Here is a 27,894-nt window from a genome sequence, read left to right on the forward strand (position 1 = left end):
ATCCTTTTCTAAAGGGAGAGACTTCCTGAAAGTGACATTCTGGAATCACATAATTTCAGGGCAGAAGAGCTCTCCGAGGTCACGTATAGCAGTTTCCTGTCCATTGCTTGAAATGCTACCACAATATTCCTGCCAAGTGGCTCCCATTCAGAGATGAGGAACTCACCACCTTGTGAGGAAACTCATTCCTTATTCAACAGCTCAAACTATTACAAAGCTCCTGTTTTAGTAGAGATTAAATCTTTCTCCTGGGGAATCCCATCTCTTGATCCTGATTCTGGCCTCCAGGGCCCCCAGAACAAGATGAGTCAGTGGAAAAGTTTCACTAGCATAACTTGGTTTGTTTTTTGAAATTCAAAGATGTGTAGAAAAGAAAGTGTTGTGAGCAGTCAAGAATATTGTTAAGGTTGAAGAAAGGCATTTTTGAAGGCTTAAAAAAAGTATGGCTAGCTTTGCTTTTTCCCTAATTATGTATTTCATAATCATAGCTTTACTTCCCCTAAAATTATTCATAAGGCAGTCAAGGATAAGGAAATACTTGTTTATGATAGTTTTACTTGGATTAGGTAAATTGAGTCCTTGGGATACACCTAATCTCTGGGATAATAATAATCATCATTTTCATACATTGAGCACTTATCCTTATAAACAACATTGTGTTCAGTGCTCTATGCAATAGCTGAAGCATTACTGTCCTCATGGTACAAAGGAGAAAACTAAGACTCAGGAAGAGTAAATAACTTCTCTATGGATAATCAGTCAGTAGATGAGCCACAGGTTCAAATTCAGATCTGTCTGATTCCTAAGCTAAATTTATTCTGCTATTCAAACCTTCCTGTCTATTTTTTGGAAAGAATTTCTATAGCACTATCAATCCTCTTTAAAATTAGAAGGTACTACGAGTCTGTTAAGGATGGAATATTGGGGCCTTCCCCATTCAAATGCTAAATCCCTAACCCCCAGTGTGGCTGTATTTGGAGATAGGGCTTCTAAGGCAATAATTATGGTTAAATGAGGTCATAAGGGTGTGGCCCTGATCTAACAGGATTAGTGTCCTTATAAGAGTGTGCTCTCTCTCCCTCTCCCTTTCCCTGTCCCACTTCCTCCTCCATCTCCCTCTCTGCCTTTCTTCCTCTCTCTCCCTCTCTCCATCACCAGAGCACACAGCAAGAAGCCAGACATCTGTAAGCCAGGAAGACAGGCCTCCTCAGAGACCCCACAGGACCTAGATCTGGACGACTTCCAGCCTCCAGAACTGTGAGAAAATAAATTTCTGTTGTTTAAGCCACCCAGTCATAATACATAAATAAGTATTCCGTTGTGGCAGCGTGGGCAAACTAATTTAAAATCTTTCTATCATTTGCTAAAACCTACCAAATATATGAGAAAAGAATGGCAATGAGGCATCTCTCTTGCCAGGACCTTTTGTCATTCTTCCGACCTTCCAGCTGGGAATGAATGAGATGAAAGAGAAGCACGTGGAAATCTCCTTCCCATGGACCACGTGCTGACTGCTGTGCTTTAGAGAAACGACTCCAATTCTTGGTCGACTCTCTTCTTGGTAAATTGAGAGATCTCAATTCTAACACTCTAATATCCTATCTGCATGAAAACAAAACTTCTTCTAATCTTTCTTTCTCATCTTTTTTTGCATATATTTTTCCATTTTTCTCTTTTTCTCAGATATTTGTATTCTCTGGATTTTTAATGTAAACAAATTAGAAGAAAAATTATATAAATGACAGTAATGTTTCAGAAAAGAGATCTCTAGCTTTAAAGTTAATTTTGCTTGTGATCTCATCAATTACATTATTGTATGCTTCCTATAAAAGCATCCCAACACAACTTTTTTTTAAAGCATCTCGAGAATCTAAGAATGTTCTAGCAGTTTCAGGAATTCTTGAAAATCCAAAAAGGTCACTGAAGACATTGGAAGCCCTTCTGCGATTGCCTTTCAAGTGGTCCCCTTTCATAGCCTGACAAATGGGACAGGATCACTACAAAAAGAGACAATAAAATGTAGATTTCCCCACCTGGGGATAATTCTGAGTCCCTCTAAACAAATGTGAGAAGAATAAACATTTACATAATGTTTGCCTTCCAGATGTAAATAATCTGCTCCCAGGAGTTCATTTGATTAGAGAATGTTTCTGAGGAGGTCCAAGGTCATGCATTCGACATCAGCAAATGCTTTGCTCTCTTCTGTGACCGAAAACTGGACTAAAAACTGTATTCATCTAACTCACAAATTCAAACTATTGATGGTCTATAGCAAGTGGTATGAGAAAATAAATAACGAGCTAATGTAATTTGATCATTGTTACAGGGAACAACCCTTAGGGGTATGATTTGGGGTAATCATTGTTATTATTTTTCTATAAAAGAAGGCAAATGATTTAAATTATTTTCAAAATATTAATACTTGAAAGAAGGGAGAATCTACAGAAATTATTGTCATGCGATTATACCTTTTTTTAATAGTGACACAGAGTCGTGTTTTGTGTGTGTGTATTCTCTTGCTCTCTACACACACACACACACACACACACACACATAATTAACTTTTCCATCTTCTTCTCAAAGACTTCTCCAGGTTTCTTTACGTGTATTTAAATTAAGTAGATTCAGAAATAATTCATTAAGCATTTTAAGATGGATGTTCAGTCATTTGGCCTTTGCTAGTCTAACATGATTAAAAACATAGATAATGGAGCCACACTGCCTGATTGCAAATCCTAGCTGACACTTACCTATAAAACCTATGGCAAGTTATTTGACTGCCCTCTGCTTCAGTTTCCTCATTTGTAAGATTGCCTCATAGGGTTGGCACGAGAATTAAATTAGTTAATAAATGCAAAATGCTAAAAACAGTAGCTGGTACATTATAAAAGCTACAGAACTTGGTATTATTAATTCATACTTACGTAGCATATTGTAGCTTCAAAATGAAGCTAATAGACAGTTTTGAAAAATTATTTTTTTCTCAGTCCTCTGTGATTGGTGGCTTCATTTGATTGTAGTGTTATAATGTGATAATGCAGGCTGCAATGGAGAAATGTGGTAATTTTGCTAAAATCAGCTTTCCCCTTGCCCAAGGTATAAGGATGTGATGTCTTCTCTCATACTATAGCAATGAAAGTACATCAACCTTAGAAAAATGGTTTAAGGGAAAAATAAAATTAAATTAAATTAAAATAAAAACCCTTTCCTCATTCTTCCTACTTAAAATTACATATTGTTAAGCAGCCCCTAAAGCAAGCAAGCTTTTCCAACTTCTTGAAAAAACACCTATGAAGGCACCCTCCAAAAGGAGATAAGTCACAATAATGAAAAGTGAGAGTAAGGGAAACCCGTGACAAGAACATGGAAGAATTTCCCACTAATTACAAGGCCAATGAAACTAATCGAAAAACACAATAAGAGATCATAATTGCAATGTCAACTCTAAAGTGGGACTATAGAGCCGATGTTCCGATGCTCCTCCCCTACCATCTCTTTTTGATTCATACATACAGGGACTACAACAAATATACAACTGGTCAGCCACCCCTCTCTTGGATGCTCCTCATGCCCTATCCAGTTCTTTCCTCACTAACTCTCCTTCCAAGGAGACTGAGCTAGAAGGAAACAACTGGACAACAAGTTTGGGAAGAGAAGGCTGGGAACACGTGGTGGTGCTCTGGATCCTGTAACTGAGAGTAGACCCAGGAAGCTTTCAGAAAGCAACGCACTCCACCTTGCATTTTTTCATGATTTCATATTCAGAGTATCAGAGAAACGTGGGGTGGGGGAATCAAACACAAGAGAAGACACCATTTCACTCCAGCTAAGCTACACTGGATAAAAGCCTATTAGATGTGAAAAACTGGGCTAAGAGATACATGTGTCAAACTTCCAGGAAACTGTAGCTTTGAGAATGGAATCGTACCAAAGGGGTCCCAAGAATGGGGACAACGGCAAGCCACTGGCAATCATCATCTATAGATCTATCTCTTATCTCAAGATTGAGTAAAGAAAAATCAAGTGTGTAAAAGGAAAAGAGTACTACAAACAAAGTAAGGAGACCGTCAATCAGAAGAATGAGGAAACATCTAAACATTATCTGCCATGGAAATCCTCCATAGAATGCAAAACAGCAGGCCTTTCATGAAAAGGGAATCCAGAAGAAGAAAACAGAGTATGATTAAAAGACCATGGGATAAAGTAAATAGTAATAATGTTAAATATGTGAAGATTCTGTGTGTGTCGGTGGGGGTAGGGGGCAGGGGAAGTAATTTAGTTAATAAACATCATACAGTTTTTTAAATTATTTTTTCAATTAACACTAAAATGAATGTTTTCTTCAAACCATTACATTTTCTTTGAAAACAGGATTTTTAAAAAGATGGATAATATTTCATCGTGTATTCTATCATGTATAATTCTCTTACTGTTGGGTACTTAGGTTTTTATATTTTCCAATTTTAAATCATACTGGGTACCTTTGTGCTTACAATTTTCATAACATCTTTGATTATTTCTTTAAGATATATTCCCACAAATAAGATTGATGTGTCAATGAATTTTCTCCTATTTAAGATTTTTCTGGCTGGGTGGGCATGGTGGCTGTCACCTGTAATTCCAGCACTTTGGGAGCCCAAGACAGGTTGATCACTTGAGGTCAGGAGTTCGAGACCAGCCTGGCCAACATGGTGAAACCCTGTCTCTACTAAAAACACAAAAATTAGCTAAGTGTGCTGGCATGCACCTGTAATCCCAGCTACTCGGTAGGCTGAGGCAGGAGAATGGCATGAACCCAGGAGGCAGAGCATGTAGTGAGCCGAGATCACGCCACTGCACTCCAGGCTGGGTGACAGAGAGAGACTCCATCTCAAAAAAAAAAAAAAAAAAAAAAAGATTTTTCACTCATATCAACAAGTGGGTTTCAAGAACGTTTGTTGAAGTTTGTGCTCGTATCAGCAATATTTGTGATTATCCATTTCACAAAGTCCACCTCAGCACTGTATCTACTTTTTATCTTAATACTCCATATTTCAAAGTATTAATGTTTATTTAAAAATTTTACTAATTAGGTCAAGCACTTTTCCTGTATTTATCTATTTTTTTGTCTTCTCTGAATAACTTGTAATTGTCTCTGCCATTTTTGCCTCTTAAGCCACTGATATTCTTTTTAATTGAAAGAGCTTTTTTACATTAAGTTTAACGACTTTTACTATTGGTGGGATTTTTTCCCCAGCAAATATTTGTCCTATGCCTTTCCTTTCATTTGTGGTATGTTTCCAAATATTAATTTACAATTTTATGTTTTAAAATAACTAACAAAGCCGAGATAGAAATAAATGAGGAGAAGCAATAAAGAGTAAAATATATGTTTAAGAAAATATAATCAGTGATATGAAAGAAAAGTATGATATGTCCTCTAAAAATGCAGAACCAATCAAGCAGATGAAAAATAAATGAGAGAAGATAATATGTTTGTAGACCAAAGAATGCAGAGCCAGCCTATTATTTTGGTATTTATTCCAAAGTAATTGGAATGAAAACAATAATAGAAGACATAATCAAAGAATAACTTTCCTAGACTGAAAAAAATCATGGATATACAAATGAGATGGGCTCATCACATTTTAAGCAAAATTTAAGAGACCAATGCCCAGAAACATATTGACAAATATTTTAATCACAAGAATAAGGAAAATATTTACAAAACATTCAGATTGAGGAAGGAAGGAGGGAAGAAGGGAGGGAAGGAGAGGGTGAAAGGGAGGAAAGACAAATAGGTGGCAAACATATATCCACACTCCTATGCAATCCCATTGTGGGGATCATTGCCTCTTTCTGGAACGTAAACAATGCAACTTTGGCAGGAGCAGGTGAGAGATTGAGGTTGTAAAATAAGACAGTAGGTTGGTCAGCATCTAAGAGAAAGTATGAATGGATATAATGGAAACATTTTATGTAATGAAGTTTTTACAGGCCTGAAACTGCCTGATCACTGATGTAATTTCTTCTTGAAGAAAATATGCAGTGGATGGATGCAATAAGAACTGATCAGTTACACAGAAGAGGCTAAATATTCTAAAGCTTGCAATTTCATTATTATATCATAATCCATATCTCCTCTCTATATAGGCCTGTGGATTTTATAGCTAACTAGCAAACTTGGGGACACTCATCAAAACTGACATTCAGAAGTACAGAGTGGCATCTTTTCACCTGCTGTTTCACATAAGGAGGGAAAATGATCATCTAAAATAAGACTTTGAGAATGGCTTTACTTTATGAGGTCTGAAATTATTTTAGATCTGTGGCATAAAGCCTATCACTCTTCTGGTCTATAGTCATGTTACTTTTAAGGGAAGATGGCAAATTGCTTCAGCATTTTCCTGCAAGGTTGCTAATACATACCAGATCACTATTCCGAAGCAAACAGCTTCCTAGAATAGTACACAGAAAGCAGGATTTTAAATAAGCCACAAACCATGCTTCTTGGTTTTGTTTACACTGGTTCCACACATTGGGAAAACAATTAGTTTCGCAGTAAATTCAGTGATGAAATAAATTATGTATTTGCCTGTCAGGTTAGGAAAAATACGTTCTTGTGGGAAATCAAGAAGGACAATGCACAAGAGAGGAGGGAATTTGTGCTATTTGACCAGGGTGACAAATTCAAGCAGCTGAGGCCAGGAACCCCAAACTCATTTTCATACCCTTGTGTGCCATACAGATTTGGTACTTGTCGCCCACAAGAGAGGGTGAAACACAGGGAGCTTGGCAGCTGCTCAAAAGATTGAGGGCTTAGCAGCCCACTGTTTCCAGCCACGTTCCCTGAAAGCCTTTCACCTCGGCCAACCACCATCAGCTTTGAGGACTCTCCTGTTTTCCATAAGGAGTGCATCCGGCCTTAAGAGGAGCTATACATTTTAGGTTAATAGACCCAATATTTATTGCCCCGAAAATAGTGATTATAGTTGAAATCCTTTATTGAATGCTGATAGTGATAAGAACTGTGAGAAGCACTTATATATATAGCAATACTCTGTTTTTTAAAATTTATGTCACAAATTATTGAATCTCTAAGTAAGACAGCACAGAAAAGGCATCTAAGTACCTCATAAATGTGAGTTTCTATTTTACAAAGTGTATGAAAGCACTGTGGAGAAACACAAGATTCAATCTCTATGCTAGAGGAATTTACACACTGATACCAGAGATAAGAGCCATCTAAATTACTGTAATCAAAGTAAAATGTGGCAACTTCTCTAAAAGAAATAAAATTAAGTGCAACAGGAATAGTGGTCAAAGGGAAATTAATTCCAACAAGAAGTGTCAGAGAGATCTTCCTAAGTTAAATAGCCATTTGAGCTGAGTCTTGAAGGGCAGGTAGCATTAGAAATAGAGAGCAACAGCCAAGAGAAATAAAGAATCTGCTTGGGACACAGCAGTGATTCCATTTGGCTAGAATACAGGGTATGTGGAGGAGCAGTGGCAGCCAATCCTGGAAAGGCAGAGGCAACCCAGTAATGGATGACCATATATGTTAAGCTAAGAGTGATTAAGGTGTCACTAAGGAAAAAAGATCTCGGCATTAAAGAGATTAATCCAGTAATTGTGTGTAGTAAAGTGGTGAAAGAAAAAAGGCAGAGAATTGGGAGTGGGGGGCTGCAACAGTCTAGATAAAAGTGATGAACTGACTACAGTTATCAGCGGGAACAGGCAGTGTTATAGGCTGAGTTGTGCCCCTCCCCAACTCGTATGTTGAAGTTCTAACCCTCAGTACCTCAAAATGTCAGTTTTTAAAGATAAGGCCTTTAAAAAGGTAATTAAGTTAAAGTGATGTCATGAGGGTGGGCTTTAATCCAACTGGAGTGGTGTCCTTTTAAGAAAAGAGAAGGTGGGCCTGGCGCAGTGGCTCGCGCCTATAATCCCAGCACTTTGGGAGGTCGAGGCGGCAGATCACGAGGTCAGGAGATCGAGACCATCCTGGCTAACACGGTGAAACCCTGTCTCTATTAAAATTACAAAAAAATTAGCCAGGTGTGGTCGGGGGCACCTGTAGTACCAGCTACTCAGAAGGCTGAGGCAGGAGAATGGCATGAACCTGGGATCCAGAGCTTGCAGGGAGCTGAGATCATGCCACTGCACTCCAACCTGGGCAACAGAGCGAGACTCTGTCTCAAAATTAAAAAAAAAAAAGAAAAGGGAAGGTGGACACAGACACATACAGAAGGAGGCTCATGTGAAGACACAGAGAGAGCATGGCCATCCGCAAGCCAACGAAAAAGATATCAGAAGAAACCAACCCTGCTGACATCCTGATCTTGGACTTCTAGCCTCCAGACTGGTGAGAAAATACATTTCTATATCGTTGTGTAATACTTTGTTATGGCAGCCCTTGCAAACTAGTAAGGGCAGGAATGGAGATTCTGTAATACAGGAATGGACAGATGTAAGCAATTTAGAAGAGGATTAATTCAAAGCAATCGGCTACAACCAGAGAAAGAAAAATTAGAAAGAGTAAAAGTTAACAAGATTTCAATTCAAGCAACCAGGAAATGTCATAAACAGTAGCAATTCAGCCAACTAGAAGAAGCTGGTTTAAGAAAAAAAAAAATTCAATTTGAAAAATTTTAAGTTGGAGTTCTGACAAGACATCCAATCCATATAAAGATGTAAATTAAGTAATTGTTAGTGTGGGAATACTTCAGGAATAAGCTAAATTTTGCGGTCATCTTGATAGAGGCTGAAGATGAGGAATTCCTTGTCTATAGGAATAGGCAAGGTTATTCAGGAAGATAATGAGGAATAAGAATAAAAATGTGAAGACACACTTGGAGGAACACCTAAAGCTTGCAGGCAAAGTGAAGAGACAGAGACTGAGAAAGGAATGGTCAATAACCACAAAAACCATCTGGTTTTATGGCAGCAAAATACAGAGGTGATTTCATCACCACCTCTTCTTTTAGTTTGTTCTCCTGCTGCACCAACTTCGGTCAGAGACCCCTAATATTTCATTGCCTTTGTGGTGACAGGATGCTGAGTAGGAGTCCCCTGTTGCTCCTGAGTAACACAGATGAGCTCCAAGAGTCACTAAATACACAACATTGCCAAAAATCAGGAAAAGACGTCTTCTACCAGGTTCTTACTCAGAACTTGTAGAACCAGCCCTGCTATACTCCCAACAGGAAGTCATAGGCCAAAACCTTAGGATACTGCATAATCAACTTGAGCCTTTATGATATCTAGAGGAATAAACCACTGAAAAGGGAGAGAAGAAAGAGTTAAGGGATAAAGGTATTGATTGATGAGCAAGGTCTTTGACTAATACCATTCTCTTTATTTAAAAAATAGACTGTGTGAAACAAGCAATTTGTTTTAAGCACTAACATGAGCAAGCGAACTTGTTAAAGCATTTTTGGGAGGTCTAACTTAGACTCTTTAATGACAAGATCTCAAATATTTGGGCAAGAAGGAATGGATTTGATAACAATAAACCCAGGACTCCTTATCCTACTGGACATTTTCATGAACTGTAAAGAGAGGATTGTGGTGGCAAAGGCTAATGTAAAAAATGAATATTTGCAGGTATATTTTATCTCCTCCTTTTCAGGTCAGAGGTTACTCCTTCTACGATGTCATATTCCACACAGTGTTAATCATAGTGTCATGTATATCATAAGTGCCCAGAAAAACTTTACAAATCTATTAGCCTGTTATCTCAATTGATTTTGGGAGAAGCCTAGTGTTAGATAAAATTCACTAATTCATTGCAAAAATATTTGCTTAGCTTCCATGCCGAGAACTATTCTAGATCTTGGTACACCCTGATGAATAAAGCAGATGTCATCCTTACCCCATGGAGTATATAGAAGGAGTGAGGAGAAAGATATATAATTAGGAAATTATATACCAAATCGGGCAATAGGTTAGGATAGGTAACTTTGTAAACTGCTTCTTTGATTCCATCAGTCCATTCTAGATATATACTTTGTTCTCATCAAAAGGAAGAATATGAAAATAAGTTATAATCTCGTGGTAGATTGTATTAATGGCCCCCGTTCTTCACCACTACCAGTATCCATGCGCTTTATACCATGTGACTGTGCAATTCCTCCTAGTAAAGAGAAAGAATATTTCTCTGCTCCTTGACTTCAGATTGATCCATGTGACATGCTTTGGCTAACATTTAGGTATAATGTGACACCCTCCCATCAAAACATTGATGTGTTTTGATAGCACAACAGGGTGGCTATAGTCAATAATAACAACTGTACATTTTAAAATAAAGTAATTGGATTATTTACAACTCAACGGATAAGTGCTTGAGGGGATAGATACTCCATTGTTTATGATGTGCTTATTTCAAATTCATGCCTGTATCAAAACATCTCATGTACCCCATAAATATATACACCTCCTAGGTACCCACAAAAATTTTTAAAAATTAATATTAAAATAGACAAAAACAATTGATGTGCACATGTGTGACTGTCTTGCCTTCTTACATTTCTACCACAGCCAGGCCTAGCCCACTGGTCCCAGGAGGATGAAGAGAAGCACATTGAGCACAGTAGCCCTAGCCAGTTGCCGTAGATGAGCCCAATCTAGATCTGCTGACCTCCAGCTGACCCACAGACACATGAGCTTCATAAATGATTTTTATTTCATTGAAATACTGTGGTTGCTTGTTATGTTGCATTATTATAGCAACAATTGACTGGATACAACTTTATATCGACTTATCTTAATAGATCTTAATGTTCTGTTCATTTAATAGACGTGAATAGGCACTTCACATGTTGTAAAACACTGTAGTAGGATGTGCCTGGACATATAATTAGAAGTTCTAATTTCAAAAATGTAAGAAACTATAAAACCCAATAATATGAATTGTACAAATGGGAGAACCAAGTTGAACATGAGTCAACTTCTCATTACTAGACTCACCGAAGTAAAGTCCACAACTCAGCCCTAAGACCTTACTAAAATGTACTCTTTCCCAGACTGTCATATTGAACAGATCATGACATACAGAAGCCAAGGAAAACAAAATTCATGTTTTACTGGGTCCCACATGCTGTGATATTTTCAAACCCACATGCATCCACCAAGAAGCAGTCAAAATGTTTGATTCTGGAAACAAATCCATAACAAGAATAGAGTACAGAACAAAAATCAACTCAACAAGTCAACCCATATGTTTTTCATTTTCCTGTATTCTATGATGGAATTGAATGTGGTAAGTATACTTGGCTCCCAGTATAGGGACTTCCAGCTATTCTTTCTAATTTCATATTTACAGAGCCCTGTGTTACCCTTTGTCCTGCCCCTGAAATAGCAACAGAAGCGAAGAAGGTAATTGACCAAAGAGTAAATGTTGTACTTTGCTAGTGTAGTGGTCTTGGAGTCATGCTCCATGCCTAATGCAAAGTTCTCTGTGCGCTGTACACAAGTGGCTGGGATGAGCCAAATAAAGATAATGTACATCCATTACGGGGAGACGAGACCTCAGGCAATCACCATTGCAGTGTTGAAAGGAAATGCAATCAGACAGCCTTCCTTTCCTCTTTAAGTCTAAAGTAACATTTACAGATTTGTGCACAGTTTGGATGCTCATTTAAAGTTTGGTATCTAAACAAAAAGGAGAAAGTTTTCCACATAGTTTATAGTGTATGAGAGAATAAATATAAAAATATCGTATGCATTATAACATGCATATGTGAATGTGTGTATATATGTGTATATATGTATATATAAATGTTTGTAAACATATATGTTTACATAGAGAGTATATGTTAGATGCATTTACTCTAATATAGCTGTATGCACAGATATAAATCATGTATCCTCAACTATATCTCTACCAGAATTCCATACAACAATCTGACAGCATTCTCCACTTCAAATCTTTTCGAAGAAAGGTTTTATTTTTCATTTGTCCAGCTAAAATTTAGTGCAGCTCAGTGTAAAAAGAAGCCATTTCAAAACATTCTTCTGTGTGTTCAGAAGTAAGAACAGAGACTGTACTTCATCATACATATGTTACACTCCCAGACTATGTCTGTAGTGGATTTAGCAGAAAGCTACAGTGCTCCTGAGCAACACAGAAAAATCAATCACCTGCAGAGACATTTTGATTATCAATGTGCAAATACTGAAAGGTATCAGAATTACTTTAGAGAGGCTAGTCTTTAACACAATTATCAAGTAATGTTAAAATTCAAAGACTTTCAGACAAACAGTATTGCTATTTCTTGTTACTCATGGTCCATTTAGAATCTGTTTACCAGGTATATATTCCACAAACATATATTTATCAAACCATATGTTCAACAGTAAATATGTAAAGTCACAGGACAGGGCCAGTTGCAGTGGCTCACACCTGTAATCCCAGCATTTTGGGAGGCTAAGGTGGCAAGATCACTTGAGCTCAGGAGCTTGAGACCTGCCTGAGGAACATAGCAAGGCCTCATCTCTACTAAAAATAAAAAATAAAAAGAATTAGCCAGGTGTGGCGGTGCATGCCTCTAATCCCAGCTACTCAGAAGGCTGAGGCAGGAGGATCATTTGAGCCCAGGAGGCCAAAGGTGCAGTGAGCTATGATCACACCACTGCACTTCAGCCTGGGCAACAGAGAAAGACCCTGTCTCAAGTATATATATATATTATATATATATTATATATAAAAATATATAATATATATAATATATAATCTCTCTATTATATATAAAATATATATTATATATTATATATAAATATTATATATTATATATATTATATATAAATATTATATATAATATATATTATATATTATATATAAATATATATTATATAATATTTATATATAATATTATACATATATAAATAATAGAGAGAGAGAGTCACAGGACAATCTTTTTTAAATTTCACATTAAAATTTGCATGCTCTCATTGGGAATCATATAAATTTAAAAGCCTGTAACTTATTTTCATAGCACTAACATTATACAGGCTGTTTCTAAACCCTATTTCACTTAACATACCAAGCCAACACCTTACTCCAGAGTCTTTGAAATCAACTAATAATTTGTAAGACTCAATACTTGACAATATGCATGTATGTATACCTGACTATTACAGATGGACGGTGACTGATTCAATAGATGAATAAGTTATTCATCCTCTCAAAACATTTTATATTCAATAAAATTAAGTAACTAACAAGTACCAGTGGAATGCATGCTAGTGTAAACTAAGATGAATAATATACATGCAACTTTACTATGTTGTCAATATTACATTCACCCAACACATTTTCTCATTCATCAAAACATATATCAAACAAGCTCTGCTTCTTTGTAACAGCAAGATTTTTTTTTATTATTCATGTCTTAAAAATAATTTTTTCTTGTACTTTTATATCAATTGTTTGCTTTTACTTTGAACTTTTTTCATTATATCTTACCCCGGTCGTCTCAAAGATGAGCGTGTGGCTCTGGCCAATGATTCCTTCTTTCGTGGACTTGTTAACCCAACACAAGACAGGCCAGGAGGGCCCTCTTTAGAAATAATTCATCTTTTCTTAGCTCCCTGAACAGTAAAGTCACCTTATTAACCACATCAGACTCTGCATATTCATTCACACACACACACACACACACACACACACACACACTGATATGTAGCTATTAATGCTATGCATTAATCAAGAGAAAACCGATGTTCAGAACACACTCCACTTTATCTCTCTGGCAGGCTTCTCAACATCTGATTTCAACTCTTTTTAAGTGTTCCAAAGGAACTTTATTAATACTGTAGAGAAAGACTCCTTTTACTCCCTTAAATTTACTGATAACCAGGTAAAACTCATTGAACAATCAAATCCTAGAGAAAGCCTCTTGAAAAGTCTGTAGAGGACATCAAGGAAATGGAAGTCACACAACAGCAATAACACCCTGATTGCATTCTATGCTAGCTCTAGAGCCTCCCTTCTGAACAGACACAGCAAAGTGTTAATGAAAAATCTGTTTCAGCTGTGATGAGAAAAATATTTCAAAATCCATAAAATTGCTGCTTCTGTTATGCCCACACTTACAATGGTTTAAAATTTAAATCTTTAATAATGCTACAAATGTCTGGGATGCTTTCCTGAAGACTTCTAATATGTACATTTGTGAAGAATCTCAGATTCATGAGATTAGTCTTGTGCTTGAAGCCAGGATAATACAGTACAGCTCTTCCTCTGAACACTAAACACTTCCCTGTACAGCATTTACAAATTGCAATTGGTTACTGAATCTAAATAAGACCCTATTGGGATAGCAGGGAATATTTTAACATGGAGGTGCACAGGTAGAAGGAGATAAACTGTTAGTTTGAGATTTGATGGGTGCAGCCAAGTTCAGATCTTTTCTTCACTTTCTATTTCCTCCTTAAAGCACTTGACATTTTTTTTATAAGAATTACCTAGTATTTTTAAAGAATGCAAAGGATCTTTAGTCAACTCAAAGAAAAATGTTTTATAATTTTACTTATTAACACATTTCATTATTTCTGACTTTAATTTTAGAGTGATAATTGGCAAAATCTAATAGATCCCTGTCATGTCTTTATCACCACGATGTGTACTTCTGGTACAGAATTGGAATTACATTTCTTTTGTTTTTCTTTTTCTAGAGACAGGATTTTGCCATGTTGCACGAGTTGGTTTCGTACTCTGGGCTCAAGGGATCTGCCTGCCTTGGCCTTTGCAAGTGTTGGGATTATAGGCATGAGCCACCGTGCCCAGTCAAAATTGGAATTGCATTTCTGAAAACGGCACTGTAAATACAAATGAGATCTATATTTAATCTTATTTGCCCCTGAGAAGCAAAGTTATGATATAGTATTATTTTCCAGAAAAAAAAAACTAATGCCTTTTTATAGAAATGAATACAAAGATTTTTAAAACAATACATGAATATAGTAATCCAAATAAGTATATATTTATAGTTGCCATCAGAGATATTTACAAACACTATGGTTAGCTCTCCTTCCTAGCATGGGTTAGGATTGTATTTCCCTAGCCCTTGGAAGCCAGCATGGTCATGGGACTTCATTTGGTCAACGAAGTCACTTGGGATTGGAAGCATTAAAAGGTAGTGTGTAATTTACCATGACTCTTGTCCTCTGCCAGGGTGACTGGAAATGCTCAAGAAGAAGCCTGCTCTCCTAGCCTGGGTACTAGAGTAAGAATAAACTGCAGCAAAAGCACCAGCTGACCTATTACATAATATACATGGACTGTCAGCAAGAAATACACCTTAGTTATTTTAAACTGCTGAGATTTCAGGACTGTGGGTTATCACAGAGTAACCTAGCTTAAACTAACTGACACACACCTTCTACATTAAAGTATAAAGCTTTGTAAGAGGCAGCTAAATCATCAAGTAACCAATCACACATTGTTGGCTTATTTTCAGGAGCAATATATGAAATGGTAACTTCCTTCCATTATTCACTTTCCATCTTCCATCGTCGAAGTCTTTCTCCAGCAGCTCCTTTCACACAACAATCAGATGTGCTCAAGCCTCACTGCTGGTGAGACACTTCCTTCAGTCTTTCCATGCCTAGGAGTTAACTTCTTTTCACTGCCAGCATTTCTGAAAGCATAGTCTACAATCATTGCTCCACTTCCATTTTACCTCATGCATTCTGGCAATTTTATCAAAGAATTTTGAATCACCAAATCCATGGCTCTTTGCTTTTTCAATTTTTCCTTCTTTTATTTCTGATATGGTATCATTTTGGTTCTCTCCTAACGTATCTTTTGTGGGGTTTTTTTGAGACAGTCTCTCTCGGTCGCCCAGGCTGGAATGCAATGGCACAATTTTGGTTCTCTGCAACCTCCGCCTCCTGGGTTCAAGTGATTCTCCTGCCTCAGCCTAGCTGGGACTGCATGTGTGCACCACCATGCCCTGCTGATTTTTTGTATTTTTAGTAGAGATGCGGTTTCGCCAGGTTGGGCAGGCTGGTCTCCAACTCTTGAGCTCAAGTGATCTGCCCACCTTGGCCTCCCAAAGTGCTGGGATTACAGGCGTGAGCCACTGCACCCGGCCTCTCCTAACATGAATCTTCTAAGTCTCCTTTGTTAGTTCTTATTTCTCTATGTGTAAGTATGCCTCAAGGTCTTTTTCAGATCTTTCATCTCTTTTTCATTTCTCCCCAATAATCTCATTCACTTGTATAGCTTCAGCCCTCACTGTCATGTATACATGATTCCCAAAACCCTCTATCCTAAATTTGTTTCCTGAGTATTAGGTTACTTGATATATATATCTCCTACCCATATCACTAGAACCACAAAAATCAACTTATATTTTTGAATATTTATTTCCCTCCTGTCCTTTCTTCATTGATATTCTCAACAAGTCTCAATACATCAATGTCATCTTCAATAATCTTATCTTCCTCACTAACCACATTCAATCAGTTCCCAAATCCTATCTCTGTTCAGTACTAACTTAACACAAGACTGCTATGAAAATATGAAGAAGGCTATCTTTTCTGTTGGTATGCACTTGGTCCAGTAATTTATGATAAAGAATAGAGTTTAATAGAAAATCAAATCCAATAATATATTAAAAGAATTATACTCCACAACCAAGTGGGATTTATGCCAGGTATAAAAGACCAATTTGACATTTAAAAATCAATTAATGAAATCCACCACACAACAGGCTAAGAAAGAAAAACAATACAGTCATATAAATAGATGCAGAAACAATATTTGACAAAATCCAACACCTATTCATTATAAAAACACACAGCAAACTAAGAATAGAGGGTAACTTTCTCAACCAGAGAAAAAACACCTACAAACAACAAACTATTAACATCACACTTAATGGTGAGAAATTAAGAAGCTCTTTCTCTAAACTCAGGAGCAAGGCAAGAATGTCCCTTCCCACCACTTCTATTCAATATCACTGGAAGTCCTAACTAATACAATAAGACAAGGAAAGGATATAAGAGGCATATAGACTGGGAAGGAAAACTTACAACTGTCTTTTCCACAGATTATATAATTGTTAACATAGAAAATCTGAAAAATCAACAAAAACTCCTGGAACTAATAAGCAATTATGGCAAGGTTGCAGGATATAAAGTTAAAATGCAAAGTCAACAGCTTTCTTGTATACCAGCAATGAACAATTAGAATTTGAAATTAAAAATAAAAACCACTTATGTTACCACAAATTTAAAAGAAAGATACAAATCTAATAAAATATGTACAAAGTCTGCATCAGAGAAGCTACCAAACTGGTGAAAGACATCAAAGAACCAAATAAATGGAGAGATATTTCATGCTCCTGAACAGAAAACTCAATATCCTTAAGAAGTCAGTTCTTCCCAACTTGATTTATAGGTTCAATGCAATCCCGATCAACTTCCCAGCAAGTTATTTTGTGAATACTGACAAACTAAATCTGAAGTTTATATGAAAGGGCCAAAGACCCAGAATAGTCAACACAATAATGAAGAACAAAATCAGAGGACTGATGCTACCCGACTTCAAAACTTACTATAAAGCCAGAGTTATCAAGACAATGTAGTACAGGCAAAAGAACAGACAAATGGGCCAAAGGAAAATAGCCTAGAAACGGGCCCACACAAATATAGCCAATTGATCATTGACAAATGAGCAATGGCAACTCAATGGAGAATGTTTTTTCAACAAATAGTGCTGGCATGACTGGATATCCATATGCAAAAAAAAAAACAAAAATGAATCCAAACACAGACCTTACACCTTTCACAAAGCCTAACTCAAAATAGATAACTGACCTGAATGCAAAATGCAACACTATAAAACTCCTAGAAAATAACACAGGAGAAAATCCATGTGATCTTGGACTTGGTCATGAATTTTTAGATACAAAACTGAAAGCACTATCCATAAAAGAAAAAACCAAAAACTTGGACTTCATAAAATAGTATGTAAATTAGTTTGTCAGTATTCACAAAAGACACTGTTAAGAGAATGAAGGGACAAGCCACATACTGGGAAAAATATTTACAAAATAGATTATCTATCGATCAATTGATCATTCTATCTACAGATACATATCTATATTTTATATATGTGTGTATACCTATATCTATAGAGATATCTAGCTATATGGAGATAATAATACTTTTGTAGATACATAGACATCTATATCTTATAAAGATAGATAAGTGGCGAGAGGGATATCTACATCTGTACAGATATATGGATATGTTGGAGAGGCAGCCAGGGGAGAGAAAGAGAGAAGCAGGAGGAAGGAGAGAATGAGAATGAATAATAGCAGTAAAGGGGTGTAAAAAAAATCAAAGAAATAAAACCTTCTTCCCCCAAAAGTCCTAGAACTAGAGGATGTTGTAGATGGAAAAGTCCCTGGCCCCAGGTCCCACCTTCATGACTAAATAAAGACTCACACAAAACCATACCATACTGAAATTTCAGAAAATTGTAGTCAAAGGAAGCTTCACAAAATTACAGATAGAAAAACAGGATGCATATGAGGGATAATCAGGATGGCATCAGAATTCTCAACTATAATAATGGAAAGCAGAAGACAAGACGAGCCATGCCTTCAAATTTTAAAACTAGAATGATTTCCAAAGTACAATTCTTTACTAACTAGACTAAAAATCAGATATGTCAACCAAACAAAGACATTTTTGGAAATGAGAGTTCTCAAAAACTTTACCTCTCATCTGCCCTTTCTCAGAAATTAAGAGCTGATGGAGTCCACCAAATCCAGAGCCTCCCCCAAAGAAGAAGAAATGGGACCCAGGAAGGAGGAAGGAGAAACAAAAGGAATTCACAGGATGATGCTGAGGGGAAGCTTCAGGAAAGCAATTTCTAAGGCCAGAGACCACCAGTCCAGAGGGAGAACTGAGAACTCCCGCAGGATGCCACCAAGAAAACAAACAAAAAGAATCCTACAGGTTGTCTGATTTTACCATAGTGATGAATTTGATAGCTTTAGCAGAGTATCTTAGGGTGAAATAAATAGTAAAGGGTGCATAGAAAAGTAAGAAAATAAATAAAAGTAAAGCAATGTTTAATTCCAAGGGAAAAATTTAATCATGGAACAATATGGCCCAATTGTGACAAATTTCCACTTAATTGTAATAAAATCAAATAATTATTTGTGGTTCAATAAACATCAGTGAATATTTTATTATGATTAAATAGAAATTTGCCACAGTTGGGTCATATTGTTCTATGATTACAGCTAGATTGAAAGGGCAGGGAAGATACACTTGTGTTTTGAGTGAAGCAACTGCAGGAATAACAGAATAAAATCTTCATCTATAAAAGCCAGCTATCAATGGAAAACTTATAATACACACTTTTTAAAATAAAAAAGTAGTTCTGCAAGCTTATTATTAGAAATAGGAAGGTAAATAACAGAAACAGCAGCTAAATGATTTCAAGTTGTTGCTTCTATAAAACAGAAATTGAGGGTGGAGGGAAGGTGTGGTAGAAAAACACTCTTTTATCATAATCATCATGAGTTTTAAAACTATATACCTATATTAATGTCATTTAAAATTTCAAAGGAAAATATTATATCCTAAAGGATCCCAAAGTGGCTGGATTACTCCAACTTGAAATTTGACATTTTTATATAGGTTATCAGTTTCGCATTATAATTTGAGATAATAATTCTGAAAGACGTTGTATGAAGGAATCAGAAAAAGGCCACAACCAGAAAGCTCTTTTCCGCCCATGTCTTAGGAATAATTTGGAAAAAATGGCCTATATAATAGGCACACTCTTTTATTACAGCCAGAAAAGCAAAATACAGTAATGGTTATTAACAAAACAAAAACAACTACCACCAGCAATAGTGTATTCAGATAATAATTTAAATATTACATTGAGATTAAATGACCAATTATGCCATTTAAGGAAATAGAAACCATAAGGAACTTTTGTTTTATAGAAACAATCTGCTTACAGACACAGCATGACTACTTTGTTTCAACAACAGAAAGCAGGAAGAGATTTGATATTGTCTATCCTGCAAACGAAAACATTTTTTAAGGTATTTGAAAGAAATTTATTGTTAAAGGTGTTACAATACCTACCAAAGACAAAAAAATGGAAAACACACACCCGGGACCCCAAAAATTATTCTTAGTACTCTGGGAAAATTCTCAATGGGAATTTTTATCATTACTCTGTCTTGCAGCTAAACGGCAGTTCTGATTCTACCATGGCTGATAAATTTGATTTTGTACTATAGAGTAGATAAGTAAATTCGCAATGCTTCCACAAAACTTTACTATCTTAGTGTGTGTGTTACCACTGTGTGATTGTTCCAATATAAAATATTAAGGAGCATGGCAAAAAGTGTTGAACTTATCTTTGCCCTTATAAGAAATACATAATTCATTATCGTAATGGTTCAGCTACATCATGTGTCTCCACTGAATTATGGAAAATCTGTTAGAGAACATGCATTCATCAGCAATATTATCCAGAAAGCATGCTGAATAACATTGAGCTCTAAAACAATCATAGAGTTGATACATATCTTAAAATAGATTAAATATTTTCCACAGTATGTTTCTGTGCTGGAGAATGCTGGTTTTTCAATATCCATTCTTTCTTGCTTGCTTCAGTAATCAGCCCTTCACATTTTAGCTGGGCATATGGCTGCCTAGCTAAAGACTACGTTTCCCAGCCTCCCTGAAGCTGGATGCGGACACGGGACTAATTTTGGCCAACGGATTGTGGACAGACATTGACATATAGGACTTCTGGTTTGTGCACTGAAAAGTAAAGAGCAGGTTTCCCACTGCTTCTTTCAGAGTCCCCACAGATTGGAAAATAAAAACAGTCATCTTAGACAATAAAACGAAAGCCTCAGATCAAATACAGAAGACATTAGGATCCTGGGTTCCTGATACTGTCAAGCTTCCAGGCCACCCCTGATCATTTACCCAGACTTACAAGAGGGGATATAAACTTCTATCTTGATTGTCATTGTATTTTTAGACTATCCGTTACCTCAGAAAAATCTGTATCCTATCTAATAAAGTTTCACCTAACACTTTCCTGAAATATAATTCAGGGGCTCTTGACAACATACTAAATTTGCCAGACACCTTTTTTCCAAAGAGTCCAATTCCCTTTCCATAATTTTACATCACTTTTCTTCACAGTGTCTCTGATGTAATTTAATAACAATGCTTTAAGATTGACCTAACCCCCAGATTCCATGACCCCAGTGTTCACGTCAGGCTGCTTTCTGCCCTGGAAAACAACATCTGGTTCTGTTTCATACTCCTGGGCAAGCTAAATTCCCAGTTTTCAGGGACCAAGAACAAGATTATTTTAACTCATTTTTCAGAAAAAAAAATCTTTTTCATTCATAGTCCTTGCAATTCACCAAAAACACACTTAATATATAAGATTAATAGACAGCAACTTACGGCTTTTCTCTAACGTTATCTTATGGCATAAAACAGTTAATATCCTTCTACTGTACACACCTTACCCATAATAAATAGCTTTCTCATATACTAAAGACAGGTTCAGATATTTATAAAGTACTTTTATCTATTCAGAGAGAAAAACACTATAAAACATAAACATTCTGTGGCTCTCAGGTTTCCCCAGCACCCTATCTTCTCTCTCCATAAAAATGGGATAATTATAACTGCCACAAACTATTGCGTGCTGATGTTATGAAAATAAATGAAATAACCAATATATGAAAGCATTTTGTGCTCTTAGGAAGAATAAATCCACCTTAAATCCAAGAAGGTATAATTCTTTATAATGTTTTCCAGGGATTTGCTGAACAGCCCTAGAGAGGTCATTACCCACAACAAACTTTTGGTACTGAAGGACCACCTTTCTAACAAAAATCTCATCTCTTGCACCTGACAACACTTTTCGATTAATTAGGGGTAGGTCCAGATGCTGCTCTATTTGGCCATCTTCAGTGCTCTAAAAGAATCCAGATTTTTTACTTCAATGTCTTGCAACAACTGAAATGAACAAAAAGCTCTCTAAATCACAGGTTTCAGTTGACAGGTTAACAGTGAAACCCATTTCAGTCAACTTCAAATGCAAAGCAGATTTGGCAAGAACCAGGGTGGGGATGAGTGGGAAAAACAAAGCCCTGGTGGCAGTCTGACAACTCCCTCACGTCTACTGTCTGCTGTAATACATCAGCGACCTCTGAGGACCCAGCCAGTCAGCTGAGCTTGGCCTCCAACTCAACCAAATGAACGTCTTTTAGTTGGCATTCCTTCATTACGTATAGAAATCTGCTTTAGGTATATAGCTTCAGCAGATAATTTAGAAATAAGAATTTATGGTTGTAAATTAAAAAGCCAAAATTGTATGAATCTGACTCATAAATCACAGTCCTTACCCTAATATCCAACACTTTAATGACTCTGGCTAACTTCCTATTTACCTTGTGCTGGGGTTAACTAACAGACTTCTTTGCTTTTAGGGGAAGAGCCAAATGTTTCTGCACACCCCATGCTGTTTTAGGAAGCTGCCAAACAAAGAAATAAGGAGTGTGCCAGCTGCCTCTGTACCTCACTGTGTGTATATGTGATACAGCTGAGTCAAAGCATCCCATATCAGATCATCAATTAGCTGTGGGTGATGTGGAGGCGGGGGAGCTTTAACATCTTGGCAGTCTTCCTGGAGCATAGTTACAGTGATGTAAGGTAATATCAGAGCTGGAGTGATTTGCAAGAGGATCACTGAGGTCTTCAACACAGTTCTACTCTCACTCCTGATGGCTTGTCCCTGAGGTTTCTATCACTGACAAAACACTTAAGATATAGCTCGGGTGTTGAATGTCACTTTTCATTGAAATTTCTCAAAATACTAATTTTCTAGTGCATGGTTTTCCCTCAAGCCAATGTTTTTAACAAGAAAACACTGCTTATATGTTCAGATAAGTGTTAAAGAAAACAGAAATGACAAGTTTTGAAATAAGCACTACACATTGCCCCATAATTCAAAATGTGTGCTAATTCTATTTACAACTTAGTGACTACTAACCATACCTGTAATTGCTCATTAAAAAATATTTAGGATGCTGAAAAGTCAGAAACAAAAGAAAGTAAACATTCAATTTATAATACACCAAATACTTAAAGTTATGTTTTATAAGTCAATCCTACCTACACCATGCTAGCAATAAAGTATACTCTATTAAAGAATTGCTTCTCAATGTGATACTTTGAAAATGGTTGCCAAGACACTCTTAAACTTTTTCCAAAATCATTGAAAGACCTCTTCTAGTCTTTCTAAAGCAGGCTCAATGTAATCACCACTTTTCCTAGTGATCATAAACTAGGTTGTCCTGCAGCTTAACAGAGCATTATAGAAAGAAAGAGACACGCATATATACGCACTCTGTATGCCCTCTGCTAATTCCAACACAGCATGCAATATGCAAATCACAGCACAGGAACAGCTAAAACATAATTAACAACTCTGAAATAAGTCTTGCATTTTATCTACCATGCATCAGTCTGGGCAAAACTACTTTGACTTAAGGAATGAGTTCCATCTACGAGGTAGCTCTTATGCTTGTGAATCCGAGCAATCCAGCACACCAAAAATAATGAAGTCATTTATCATATTCTTTCCATCCACTTTCACTCATCCATTCAACAAACATACACTGAGGAGTCTCTTTTTAGCAGACGCTGTTCCACGCCCTAAGGATGCAGCCTCCACCTCACTCTGCACTTCAGAATGTGGAGAACCCTGAAGGGAACATTTTTTTTCCAAGAAAGAAGATATCAGTTAATAAAAAAAAAAAAAACAAATTATTAAATCTCATTCAGATAGTTTAAAAACAGGAATTTTTCTCAACAGTTAATCACTATCTACATAGTGATTTCAGATTTTTTTAACTTTTAATATACTGTTTTATAAAAAAGATTATTAGCTTCACTGAACAAACTACAAAGAACCACATTACGAAGGAAAGTGATAACTCAGATAAATGATTTTGTTTCCATTTTAGAGAGGAGGCACACATATACATGAGTCCACATAACTTTCCTATATCTTACCAAGTTGAATTTTTTTAATACTAAGCTACAGAGAGCAGTAGCATGTGACACAACCATCTTACATAGAATACAAAGTGCCCTGAAGAGGATCATTCTCCACTGCGTTTTCTCTATTCTCACTTACACTCAGAAACATAAACCAGACTGTTTCTTACACTTATCTACCTCCTGCTTTTAGCACTGTGCTGAGAAAATAGGGAGTATATAATAAACAGTAGATAATTGAATGAAATGTTTTATTATTGTGCTTTTCATTATATTCACTGAATATTTCTTCCATTTACATGACAAAGAATGTTATGTAGGGGCATTGCTTTTGCAGGTCCTCTTCCACTAGATATACTGGTAAAGCAAGATGACCTTCAATTAATATTTTCAAGTAACTTTAACAGCCTAGGTGAGAGTTACATGCAACAAAGAATGGCACCAAAACAATGGGTTAAGGTGAACACTGCTCTGTACATATTCAGAATAAGCTAGTATCTATTTCTATTTCCAAAAGCAGATGAAACTAATCACATAACAATGCTGAATAGTAAAGATTTCATTTTTATTCCAAACAACTAGATAGGAGATAATGCCAGAAAAAAAAAATGAGAGTTCCTAACATGTTCATATGCGTCTGAATAACCCAGTCAACTCCTTCAGAGATGAAATATCATCCAAATCAATGAGAGTTTCTCTCAATAAAAATACAGGCAACATTAAAATGTAAAATTAAACAGAAAAGATTAACCAATCAACTCTATTTCTTTCCAGACACAAAGCAGTAAATTTTAGTATCTTTGGGGATATTTATGAGATTCATAAAACAGAATTGAACATGTTATTAGTAACAACATTAATAAATTTCCCTCACTTTATTTTCAAAAACCTTCAGTAAATAATTATTATCTTTGAAATACAGACTATTTCTACGTAATGTATATAACTCACAGAAAGGAGTATATAATGTCCCCACTGTTTACTACTGTATCTTATGTTTTCATTGGAAATACTTGCTCTCAAGAGTAAACCTCAAGCCTGGAGAGGTGGCTCACGACTGTAATCTCAGCACTTTGGGAGACTGGGCTGGGCGGATCATTTGAGGTCAGAAATTCGAGACTAGCCTGGCCAACATGGTGAAAACCCATCAACTAAAAATAGAAAAATTAGCCAGGCGTAATGGTGGACACCTACAGTCCCAGCTATTCGGGAGGCTGAGGCAGGAGAATTGCTTGAACCTGGGAGGCAGAGGTTGCAGTGAGCCAAATTAGCACCACTGCACTCCAGCCTGGGTGACAGAGTGAGACTTCATCTCAAAAAAAAAAAAAAGTAAACATCAAAATTCAGTATATGGTTCTTGTTAGGTATTAATTTCATTATAGCTCTGTGATGAAACAATTTGGGAAGGGAAAAGGGAGGGTGCAACATAAAGGAGCGAAGCCTCAAAAAAAAATCACTAAGAGGTAAAAGGCTCCTACTAGTATCAAAACAAATTGCAATATGGTTGTCAAAAAACTCCATTTTATATTGAATAACTGTAATGTTTTATATTGAAATTTTCACAATTTTAATAAAATTGTCTAAAACCTCTGAATGTCTCTGCTCTTCTACTTAAAATTTTAAAATTCACTTCTGTTCCAAAAGAGATAATGGTCTAAGTTCAAAATAGTCGCTCTCTCTTTTAAGTTTCTGCCCACCTTACAAAACACTGCAGAATGCAGTCTACCTGTAAGATACCTTCCAAGATACTGGCAGGCAAGATGAGCCAGCATATTCCAACAGACAAAATTGCAATGTGATCTTATTTTGCTTCCCACCGTTTTTAACATTTACACAGTGGGTGAAGTTCTTCCCCTTCCATGGCTGAAAAATCATACAATCGTGACCTTTTTGATAACTCTTATGTAATAAAATGCCTATATTTTCTTTAGGTTGCAAAATACAGTCTCAATCTGACCCCTAGAAAGTGAGTCTCCTGCGATAATTAAGTGATGCCAACATCACTCCATGTTCCAGCTGTTTCCCCTGTTCCTGGATAAAGCCTCCCACCTGGGAATAGATAAAGCAAATGTGGTATATATACAGCATGGAATCCTACACAGCCATAAAAAAGAATAAAATTATTCCCTTTGCAGCAACACGGATGGTGCTGGAGGCCATTATCCTAAGCGAGTTAACACAGGAACAGAAAACCAAATACCGCATGTTCTCAATTATAAGTGGGAGCTAAACACTGAGCACACATGGGCACAAAGAAGGGAACCACAGACACCGGGGCCTACTTGAGAGTGAACGGAGAGGAGGGTGGATGAGAACTGAAAAACTACCTATCGGGTACTATGCTCATTATCTAGGTGACAAAATTATCTGTACACCAAATCCCCTGTGACACACCATCTACCAAGGTAACAAACCTGCATTGCATATGAACCTAAAATAAAAGTTGAAAAGAAAAAAGAAAATATTTTTAAATACATATATATATATTGTGTGTGTGTATGTATATATATGAAACAATATATATGTATATATATGAAACTATATATATATGAAACTATATATATATATATATATATATATATATATATATATATGAAACAATTAAAAATACAAAAAGTATTTTTTAAAGCCTCCCAGTTAGGAAGGGCAAGAGAGACACTTTTCCTTTCTGATCATCTCCTATCCTGTTTGCTAGCTGTTCACTCTGAGCCTTCCTTAATGTTCCTTAATGTTCCTTAATGTTCATTCTGAGCATTAAGAGATGGGGAGTGATAGGGAGAAGAGGTATGGGGAGCAAGACGTTCTTACTTAAATTACCTGGCATTGTCATCAGTGGGCATCCCATTCTATGAACCTGGAAGATATTCAGAAAAAAAACTTAAAAAATAAAAAAAAATTAAAGATGTTAAGAGAAAGAAAAGCTCTTTCATTAGCAGGATGCCTATGAAAGATTTTAGAGACATTCCGTTGCTGGAGATTCTTTGACCCTGCCAAATACGTTTCTAATCTGGTTGTTTGTTTAACTGTTTAACCTCTTTCCAAACCCTAAGGAACCCAAAGATCCAACTGGAGCTTCCACCTGCTATGGTCTGTTCAGAATTCCAGGCAACCATGTTGACCAATGTGTAATATTATTTCACAATGCCTCGACCTGAAGAATGCTATAGCAGGAGAAAGAATGTGGGCTTTCACAGTCATAAGACCTGTATTTTGAATTCCAGGCCCTTTATTTCCTGATTGCCCTTGGAGTAACTAACTCTGAGTCTCAGTTTCCTCATCTATAAAACAATATGTTATTTTAATATTTTAAATAATTCTCTAGTCATGACTCATAGAAGGGCATTAAGAATTGGAAGACCAATTACACAGAACACAGAGGAATGATGATCTGGTTATCCATTGCTCATAGCAAACCACCTATAAACTTAGTGATTTAAAGGAATAATTTATTATTATCCTATGGTTGTGTGGCCTCATCTGGGTAGTTCTCTGATATGGTTACAGATGATGGCTAAGATTTCAGTCATTTGAAGCCTTACCTGGGCTGGACATCTAAGATGGCTTATGCACCTGGCCAGCAGCTAATGCTAGCTATCAGCTAAGTGTTCAGCTGACCTGACAACCAAACCACCTACACATAGACTCTCTATGTGGCTTGGCATTATTATGATATAGAGGCTGAGTTCCAAAAGGGAGCCCTCCAAGAGCAAGCATTCTAAAAGTCCTATTGGGAGGCTGAATGCCTTTATAGAAGTTAGTGCATGACATCACTTCTGCCACACTTTATTGGTTAAGAAATCAAGGCAAGTCCAGATTAAAGGAGAGGGAAATTAA

At 36.5% G+C, this 27,894-nt stretch overlaps 1 protein-coding gene and 1 long non-coding RNA gene across 11 annotated transcripts in view, besides 4 other annotated features; one reads left to right on the forward strand and one right to left on the reverse strand.

The window, feature by feature from the left end:
* The window catches only part of COL25A1 (collagen type XXV alpha 1 chain), a 493,934-nt gene that overhangs the window by 375,951 nt on the left and 90,089 nt on the right, over positions 1–27,894 (reverse strand). For 2 of the 10 annotated variants that reach the window (XM_011532356.3, XM_011532355.3), the window contains exons 1-2: positions 27,600–27,680; positions 26,878–26,914 (exon numbers count right to left, since the gene is read on the reverse strand). The exons of 7 other annotated variants lie outside the window; for them this stretch is intronic. In XM_011532356.3, coding sequence (XP_011530658.1) covers positions 26,878–26,905 — 28 coding nt within the window. In that variant the 5' untranslated portion in view covers positions 26,906–26,914; positions 27,600–27,680. Of the gene's footprint in view, positions 1–26,877; positions 26,915–27,599; positions 27,681–27,894 lie in introns of those variants that run through there. One more of the 10 variants, XM_017008737.2, reaches the window with a different exon arrangement.
* On the forward strand, positions 1,195–20,724 carry LOC124900754 (uncharacterized). Its single transcript, XR_007058223.1, has 4 exons — positions 1,195–1,257; positions 18,735–18,954; positions 19,959–20,060; positions 20,641–20,724. It is a non-coding gene; the product is annotated as an uncharacterized LOC124900754 (long non-coding RNA).
* Positions 1,745–2,272: an enhancer, noted in NCBI's record as "NANOG hESC enhancer chr4:110107576-110108103 (GRCh37/hg19 assembly coordinates)". NCBI's record gives its function as "activates a minimal SCP1, AML or CMV promoter by ChIP-STARR-seq in naive and primed H9 embryonic stem cells {active_cell/tissue: H9 hESC(naive and primed)}" and the evidence as "EXISTENCE:reporter gene assay evidence [ECO:0000049][PMID:30033119]".
* Positions 3,649–3,818: an enhancer, noted in NCBI's record as "experimental_71641 CRE fragment used in MPRA reporter constructs". NCBI's record gives its function as "activates a minimal promoter by MPRAs in K562 erythroleukemia cells, with activity observed for the non-introgressed 4:110109565 variant allele {active_cell/tissue: K562}" and the evidence as "EXISTENCE:reporter gene assay evidence [ECO:0000049][PMID:34662402]".
* Positions 14,442–14,611: an enhancer, noted in NCBI's record as "experimental_71659 CRE fragment used in MPRA reporter constructs". NCBI's record gives its function as "activates a minimal promoter by MPRAs in K562 erythroleukemia cells, with activity observed for the non-introgressed 4:110120358 variant allele {active_cell/tissue: K562}" and the evidence as "EXISTENCE:reporter gene assay evidence [ECO:0000049][PMID:34662402]".
* Positions 19,671–19,840: an enhancer, noted in NCBI's record as "experimental_71681 CRE fragment used in MPRA reporter constructs". NCBI's record gives its function as "activates a minimal promoter by MPRAs in K562 erythroleukemia cells, with activity observed for the introgressed 4:110125587 variant allele {active_cell/tissue: K562}" and the evidence as "EXISTENCE:reporter gene assay evidence [ECO:0000049][PMID:34662402]".

The sequence above is a fragment of the Homo sapiens genome, chromosome 4, assembly GCF_000001405.40.
Source record: "Homo sapiens chromosome 4, GRCh38.p14 Primary Assembly".
Classification (NCBI taxonomy): Eukaryota; Metazoa; Chordata; class Mammalia; order Primates; family Hominidae; genus Homo; species Homo sapiens.